The sequence below is a fragment of the Homo sapiens genome, chromosome 9 (genome assembly GCF_000001405.40).
Source record: "Homo sapiens chromosome 9, GRCh38.p14 Primary Assembly".
Lineage (NCBI taxonomy): Eukaryota > Metazoa > Chordata > Mammalia > Primates > Hominidae > Homo > Homo sapiens.
Window position 1 is genome coordinate 1,083,472 of NC_000009.12, and position 8,967 is coordinate 1,092,438.

The 8,967-nt window shown below is 37.9% G+C and overlaps 1 annotated feature.

The window, feature by feature from the left end:
• Positions 322 to 822: an enhancer, noted in NCBI's record as "H3K4me1 hESC enhancer chr9:1083793-1084293 (GRCh37/hg19 assembly coordinates)". NCBI's record gives its function as "activates a minimal SCP1, AML or CMV promoter by ChIP-STARR-seq in primed H9 embryonic stem cells {active_cell/tissue: H9 hESC(primed)}" and the evidence as "EXISTENCE:reporter gene assay evidence [ECO:0000049][PMID:30033119]".

Here is an 8,967-nt window from a genome sequence, read left to right on the forward strand (position 1 = left end):
GCTGTTAAACTGAGAGGCAAAGCGAAATGAGCATCCACTCAGCATCGGGCTGAGAATCCAACATCTGATTGTACTTAGCGGGGAAGGAAACTTAAAAAAAAATCCAACCCAACTTTCATTTCTTGTTCTTTTATCCTTAAGCTCAGCAATAAACTAGCACCCTTTGGTTAAAAAGTCAAGGGAGCAGATGTGTAATTCTGGTGCTTCAGCGTCTATATTTTAAATGGAGCATGTAAATTATGGGAACGCCTCGGGGCGCTCTGTGGGGAGAGACTCCAGGAGCATGCGCGGGGCTGCTGTCAGTCATCCTGCATTCCGCCCCCCTTGGGAAAGAGCTGCCTCCAGGCTGCGGGCTCAGTTGCCTGGAGAATGGTACAAGGGCATCGTCCTGAGGAAGCTGTTCATTTCACAGAGGGAAATAAGTGGCTGAACTGTGCAGGGCTGTACCACCGAGACCTGCCAGCTGAGACTTAAAAAAGGCAAAGACAGTGTAAGGTCTGGAGTTCTGTCCCAGAAGACCTGGGTTGTGTTCCATTCCTCCTCTTGCTAGTTATGTGGCCTTAGGGAAGGTACTTAAGAGGTTTCTGCTCTAAAAACTGGGGCTCTAAGTGCCGACTTCAGAGGACTATGAGGAGTATGAATAAGAAAAGAGTGTGTGTAAAATGCTTAGCTCAATGTTTCTATCTAGGTGTCTACTTTAAAAAATAGAACTCATTACACACAAGAAAGGTGGCAAAGTATTTATTAAAGTGTCATTCAAAATTTCAAATTCAGGCTTGGCATGGTGGCTGACGCCTGTAATCCCAGTTTGGGCGGCTGAGGCTGGAGGATTGCTTGAACCCAGGTGTTCAAGACCAGCCTGGGCAACATAGCAAGACCCTCGTCTCTAACCCCTGTGACCAAAAAAAAAAAAAAATTGCTGAGCGTGTTGGTGGTTGCCTGTGGTCCCCGCTACTCAGGAGACTGAGTCAAAAGGATTGCTTGCGCCCAGTAGTTCGAGGCCGCAGTGAACTATGATCACGCCACTGCACTCCAGCCTGGGTGAAAGAGTGAGACCCTGTCTCTAAATAAAAAAAAAATAAATAAATTCAAATTCAAACACTGGAAAGGACCTTTGAGGCCATCTGGTCTGACATCCTGATTTAGAGATGGGCATGGCTTGGGGAACAGGAGATGATGGGCAAAGTAGCCTGGAATGTCTGGATGTCCAGCCTTTTTTTTTTTTGAGACAGAGTCTCATTCTGTCACCCAGGCTGGAGTGCAGTAGCGTGATCTTGGCTCACTGAAACCTCCACCTCCCGGGTTCAAGCGATTCTCCTGCCTCAGCCTCCTGAGTAGCTGGAATACAGGTGCATGCCACCATGCCTGGCTAATTTTTGTATTTTTAGTAGAGACGGGGTTTCACCATATTGGTCAGGCTGGTCTTGAACTACTGACCTTGTGATCTGTCCGCCTCAGCCTCCCAAAGTGCTGGGATTACAGGCATGATCCTGAACTGCAGCCGGCCTGGATGCCCAGTCTTAATCCAGCGTTCCTTCTTCAAAACCACACTGCCAGAACCCACTGCCACCAGAGCTGGGCCCACAAGGGCATCATCATCACCTGCTACAGTGCCTGGCATTCAATGAAGGTTTGTTCCATTGGTAAATGAAACTCAGGGATGCTAGGATGTCACCGGAAGAGATCCTTTTTCACTTAGAACTGTTTCAGCTTCTAAGTCTTTCTGAAGAGTCGATGAGCATAACATTGTGAAGTGCTTAATGCATGACACAAGTTATTAAACAATTTAATATGTGAACTGAGCCAAAAAATTTTGGAATACTTTAAGGAAAATTGCTAACTGATGTATGAGAATACTGTTGGAACCCTAATCATTATCGGGTAATCCGAAAAAGCTTTTAAAATGCTTATTTTGCAGCTCAGATTAAGTGGTGTTAAATGAGTTAACAAAGGTTAAAGAATTATGAGTTGCCTAACATCCCACAGAGATATGCTCAGAAAAACAAACAAACAAACAAATGCTTCTCTTGATATCCCGAAATGCCTCTGGAAATCAGTAGTGGTTTATCTCCTTTTCCTAAGACTTAGGATCAAATAAAGACACTTGTCCCTCTTGTCAAAAAAAGGGACAACCTGGGTTTTACCCACAGCCATGCTAGCTTTGTTCCCTTTGCAAATGGAATCCACAGAGTACCCCTTGACTGCCATGCACCACTCCCACCTCTTTCTGCCACTTAAAGTAGGATGGCCAGCAGAAGGGCACAGTTAGACTCTAAAGGCCTGCCCCAGGATGGGAGTGAGAGTTGGGCTTCAGCGTTCTCAAATGGAGCAACTTCTGTGATTCTGTCTTTCTTTTTGAAGCAGAGCCAGACAAAATAAATAGGTGGCTCCCCGGGCAACCAAATAACTTAGTGCCTTGATAGTTTTAAAATATGCATCCCATGTTTATACAGGCTGTGTGGAAGAAGGATGCGGAAGAAAGACCACTGGCAGTGGCACTCAGCATCTGCTCACTTTTCCCAACCAACGCAACTCCAGTACCAAACATGATTATCCAGGGTGCAAAACAAAAGCCCTGCACTCTGATTGAGTGGGATATTTGTTCACTCAAATGGTTTAATCACCCTCCTAAGGAGGCACTTTAAACAGGGTCACCATGAACAGTTTGCAGGTCATATGTAAATGACTTCTGGAGTTGTGCACTACTCTACATTGTGGCCTTGTGACCCTGAGTTTAAACAACCCCTATTATTATTCATGTATTTTCCTGGAAGAGGGGCCACACACAGCCCCACCCCACACAATTTATAACTGGATTCTTGTTAACCTCGCAAAGTACTCTCTGTAACAGGAGTGCTAGGAAAATAATTTTTTCCATCTTGCTATAATTCCAGTGATATTTTTAGCACCTCTTAAATACTAGCACCCCAGGCAACTCCTATCTGACTCACCCTTAATCTGGCTCTGCATGGAACAGGTATAAAAAGGAGGAAAGAAAAAATTTGTAGTAATGAGAGATCACTGGAGATATATAAAATCTCATAAAATACAGATGAACTTCCAATGTGTGATGCTTAGCCAATGTATAAATCACTATTTCTTAGAATGCACCGAAGATCCAAAAAATTAGAAATGAAATCTATTTTGGTTCATTTCATGCTTCCTCAAATAACGGAAATAACAAACTATAAACTGTAAAACTTTATATCCTTTCAAAGGTTTTCACGTGTATGATGTCATTTCTTTTTAACTGAAGCTATAAACTTCTCAGTTCATAATAACTTATTGTCATTTATCACTGGTCTGTGTAACACCCTTCTTATTCTAGTATTTTCCCCCCAATCTCCATTGCTAGTCCCCTCCCTGCAGTTTCCAAACTAATATGTTGATAATGAGTCTTTAATGATGCAGATATCATAGTAAAATATTGAGTGCTGTTTGGAACATGTTTCTGTTTCTAATTTATCATTCAATCCTGTTTTTTGAGATTGATATTGCTATAACTATGGTTCCCTCATTTTTAACTCCTTTAAGGTATTACATAATAAGCATTCACTCTCTTTTAAAAATCTTTTAAAAATTGTAAAATCTACATAATAAAATTTTTAAAATTTTCTTCATTTTTATGTGTACAGTTCTGTGGCATTAGATCCATTCCCATTGTTCTACACTCATCACCGCTATTCATCTCCGGAACTTTTTTTTCTTCCGAAGCTGCGCCTCTGACTAACACTAACTCCTCATTCCTCCTTAAGCCCCGGCCTTGGCAGTCACTATTGCATCCACTGTATTTTACTATTCTCCTACTGAGGGTCACCAAGTTTGTCTTTAGATCCACTACCACAAACCACATCACAACCTCATACAGACCTCCTTATGAAGTTGTGCAATAATTTCTCTAACATATAGACCCAGGAGGGGATTTGGGGGCCAAACAGAATATATTGCTTTCTAGAATGACTATATCAGTTTACATTTTTCTTAACAGTACAGTAAACTTCCTGTCTTGTTACATCTTGCCATCTCTGGAATTATCTAATTTTTAATTTTTTTTCTATTTTAATAATCTTATTTTCGTTTGAATTTCTTTGTTTAGTAAAGAGTTAGAGCATTTCTGAATATATATTAGTTACTTGCACTCCCCTTTCTGAGAAATGACTCTTCAATACTTTGCTCATTTAAAAATTGGGTTTCACATCCTGTTTCTTGTTGATTTTCTGGAGTTGTTTGTACGTTATAGGTGTTAAGTTCTTGGTGGTTTTGGATGTTACAAATATTTTCCCCCAGACTCATTCATTTGTTCCTTTGTTTATGGTGTTCTTTATTTTGATAGAATCAAATACATCAATTAAAAAAATCTTTGAGATTTTAGGGTCTTGTTCCAGAAGTCTTTCCCTCACTCTTATATAAAAAATATACTGTTCTACATTTTCTTTAAAATTTATTTTACATTTTCTTTATATTTCTTCTTTCTTTTCTTTTTCTTTTTTTCTTTTTTGAGACAAGGTCTTGTTCTGTCGCCCAGACTGGAGTGCAGTGGCACAATTAAAGCTCACTACAGCCTTGAATTCCTGGGCTCAAGTGATCCTCCCACTTCAGCCTCCCAAGTGGCTGGAACTACAGGCCAGCACCACTACGCCCGGCTAACTTTTGGATTTTTGTAGAGACTGGGTCTTCCTGTGTTGCCCAGGCTGGTCTCCATCTCCTGGGCTCAAGCATTTCTCCTGCCTTGGCCTCCCAAAGTGTTGAGATTACAGGTGTGACCCACTGCACCTGGCCTCTTCTCTATTTGATTTTTTAAAAATAATTTTACCTCTTACATTTATGTCTTTAATCCATTCAAAGCACACTTTTTCATTGTTTAATGTAAGTTATAAGGTCTAACATTATTTTGCCTTATCATAGTAATTCACTTTCCGGTCACAATTTGCAAATGATCCATCCTTTCTGCGTGTTATGTGGTTCCAACTTCATCTTTACGAAGTTCCCATATATATGTAGTACTACTTCTAAGACCTCTGTTCTTCTGCAGTGGTTCAGATTCAGCACCACGCTATTTTTATGGCTCCATCATGTCTCAGTGTCTGATGAAGTGAGTATTCCTCTCCTTGCTTATCTATTTCAAAGTGGCCTTAGCTATTTTTGAAATTTTACTTTTCCGTATAAATTTTAAGAGTGAATTTGTGGAGTTCCTTAAAAAATCCTTTTGCAAATTTGATGGGATTGCTTTGAATGTACAGATTAATTTGGGGAGCACTGACACCTTTACTTTGACATGTCATCTTTGACATTTCAAAGAGTTGATGTCTACCCATTTATTCAGAATTTTCTTTAGTTTTTATTCTGTAAAAATCAAAGTTTTTTTGTTGATTTCCAGACTGATTATAATCTCTTACTATTGCGAATGATATCTTATTGTTGAGGTCATCATTGCTAGCACAGAGGAATATTATTGTGTTTTGTAAATTTTATCCTATAATAGAACAACCTTGTCAAACTCTTACTAATTCTAATAGTTTGTTAATTCTGTTGAATCTTCTGCGTGGATAATACTTTTGTCTGAAAATAGTAAGTTTACTTTCCCCATCTAATCCTTACGCATCTAATGTCTTTTTCTTGCCTACAGCATTGGTTAGTTCTTTTTGTACTATGTTAAGTGGAGAAATGATAACAGGAATTCTTGTCTTGTGTCCAATATTATTGGGAATACATTTCTCTGTTACATGTGATGCTTAGTGTAGGTTTTTGATATGTAGCCTATTTTAAGCCAAGGAAATTACCTAAGATTCATAACTCTCTGGGGTCACTGAACTTCATCAAATGCTTTGTCTGCATGTTTTTATATAATCAAGTGATTTTTGTCCTTCATACCATATTGCCTCTCACTCTAAAGAACGAACGGAAGGGGCAAGGAGGGGGATTATTAGGCATGTGTCCTGTGCCAAGGAATCCTGATGGGCTGAAGTGAGAATTAGACATTATGGGAAAATTTCAATGAACAATACCAGGGGCAGGTAATCAGTGGTTCTCCAGGGCTTCAGAGGAAGCAATGGAAGGGGTAGGGAGAGAAGTAATCACATTAAGATGGTAAGGTGGTGTAATTAAAAGAGGAAAAAGTCACTTAAATTTACTGAGTACTTTTTATGTGTCAGGCTCAGAAGCCATTTTAAAGCTTAAACCTCATAACAACACTGTGAGGTGGTCATTATTTTGCCTGCTTTAAAGAGGAAGAAACAAAGGCTTAATGAAGTTAGGTAACTTGCCCAGGTTCTTGCAGCTAGAAAGTGCTAATGCCAGGACTCTTTCCAAAGCCCAGGTCTCGTTCCAAAGCGCAGGTCTTTTCCACATGCCATAGTATGTTCCTTAAAAGATTTCTAATGATAATACAAAGGAGATATGAAAATGAAACCTAGTCAGTCATCAAAAACACTGAAATAGTTCTATCTCAGTATATACAAATTTGTGAAAAAAGAAAATGAACCAGAGGTCCTTTGAGAAATGAGTGATTCCAACTAGAACAGAGAAAGTAAGAGATAAGCTTGGAACACGTTATTATGCCAGAAAGTAAAAAAGTCCTCATACAAAGTAATGGAGACCTGTGAAAAGGCTATAGGAATCAGCTTGAAGGGGCTGTAGCTGGCCAAATTTAGAAAAATTTGAGCATCAAAAGAACAGTAATTTATGGAAATCCATTGAATAAAATAATTCACAAGTTTGTGCTGATAATAAATAATAGAAAAATAAATAAAAATACGGGAGAAAAGAAGCTTTTACTTGAGGTAGAATACCAACCTATAAATATGGAGGGAGTGGTATGGTTGGAAAAAATAACTATTTTGCAATAATCATAACAAAGATTGTTTTAGGCTTGAATCATCAGTGGATACTATATCTAGGGTATAAATATTGATGCAGATCATGACATTTTCATGGTCTTAAAATGTTTACTCCTAGATTACCTATTAGATGGAAGGGAGGAGTGTAGTAAATGTATAGTGGAGAAAGTGGACAACACCTTGATCTAGTAGTAAAAATTAATATCACCAGTGATGGACTCATATGCCTCCAGATGTGATATTTTGAGAAGGACACAACACCACTTTATGTGGTGTTCTGTAGTATACTGTAGTAATATGTGTAGTATATGCAGTTTGAATTTAATCATAAGGAAACATCAGCCAACCTCAAATTGAGGAGCATTGTATAGAATAGCTGACCCCTGCTGAAAGACTGAGGAACTAACTGTTCCAGATTTAAAGAGATTGAAAAGATGTAACATATAAAATCCAACATGTGATTCTTGACAGTATCCTGTACAGGAGAGAGAAATGTTCTAAAAGACATTATTGGTATAATTGACAAAACTGGATTATTGGTGGTAGATTAGATAAAACTATTATCATCTATTTTGGATTTCCTGAATTGTGTAGCTAGTGTAGCATTGTAAAAGAATATCCTTGCTCTTAAGAAACACATACTAAAGTATTGAGAAAAGGAGTGTTCACAAATGGTTAAGAAAAGAAACCGACGATAAAGTGAATATTGGTAGAAGAAAAAGAAAATATGCCAATATGGAAAAAATTAGTGAAACTGAATAAAGGGTATATGAAAGTTCTCTGTATGATTTTTACATCTTCTTAGTAAGCATGCAATTATTTCCATATTGAAAAATACTGCAGAAAAATTTAGTACATGTGGTCATTTGTCAAAAATACTGATGAGCCTGGGCGACATAGTGGGACTCCATATCTACAAAAAATACAAAAATGAGCCAGGTATGGTGACACACACCTGTAGTCTCAGCTACTTGGGAGGCTGAGGCAGGAGGATTGCTTGAGCACAGGAGGTCGCCACTGCACTGGAGCCTGGGTGACAGAGTGAGACCCTGTATCAAAAAAAAAAAAAAAAAAAAAAAAGAAAAGAAAAAACAACAAAAAATTCTGATGAGTTTCGGCAGTCAACATTTGACCCATGACATCTCTATTTCCCTAGGAGAATGAAATAATAGCATTCCTGAAGGGCATATTGGTCCCCAAGACTGACTCATTAGGAGTGAAGACTTCCTACTTGTTGTTGGCTTAACTGCCTTTTGCTTGTAGGTTTAGTAACAGAATTATAAAAAGAGGAGCCATTTATTGGGGAACAGAGGGTTTTGTTTCCTTACTCAAAATAGAATATGCCAAACCTAACAATTTCAATTTTGCTAAAACTTTAACATCTCAATTCCCCAATATGATATGTTTATAATAATATTCCTTAAGAAATCACCCCTCTATAGTACCCTGAACTGGTGGGGACTGAAAAACATTTACTCTTTAGTTTAATTTCCAACTGTGTTCCAAGATTCCATATGGAGTTCAGGATTACTTTTGGGATATGGTTTGAGCAGTAGCAAGGAAGTCACCCTGATTGTATTATCTCTAATATTTTGCCTATCAGAAGTGAATAGGAATGTTACAAGTTGGGTTGTGTTTCTTTTCTTTGTTGTTTAAAATACATTTGAAAAATTGTGGTAAAATATATATAACATAAAATTTACCAGTTTAACTTTTTGAAATTATCCAGTTGACCCTTGAACAACACGGGTTTGAACTACACAGATCCACTTATATGTGGATTTTTTTCCCAATAAATACATTAGACAATTTTTTGGAAATTTGTAACAATTTGCAAAAACTTGCAGATGAACCCCTATAGCCTGGAAATATTGAAAAAAGAAAACGGTATATCATGAATGCATAAAATATATGTAGATACTAGTCTATTTTGTCACACACTACCATAAAATATACACAAATCTATTATAAAAAGTTAAAATTTATCAAAACTCACACATACAAACACAGACCATATATGGTACCGTTTACAGTCTAGAGAAATGTAAACAAACATAAAGATGCAGTATTAAATCATAACTGCATAAAATTAACTGTACTACATTCTGTACTATTGTAATAATTTCATAGC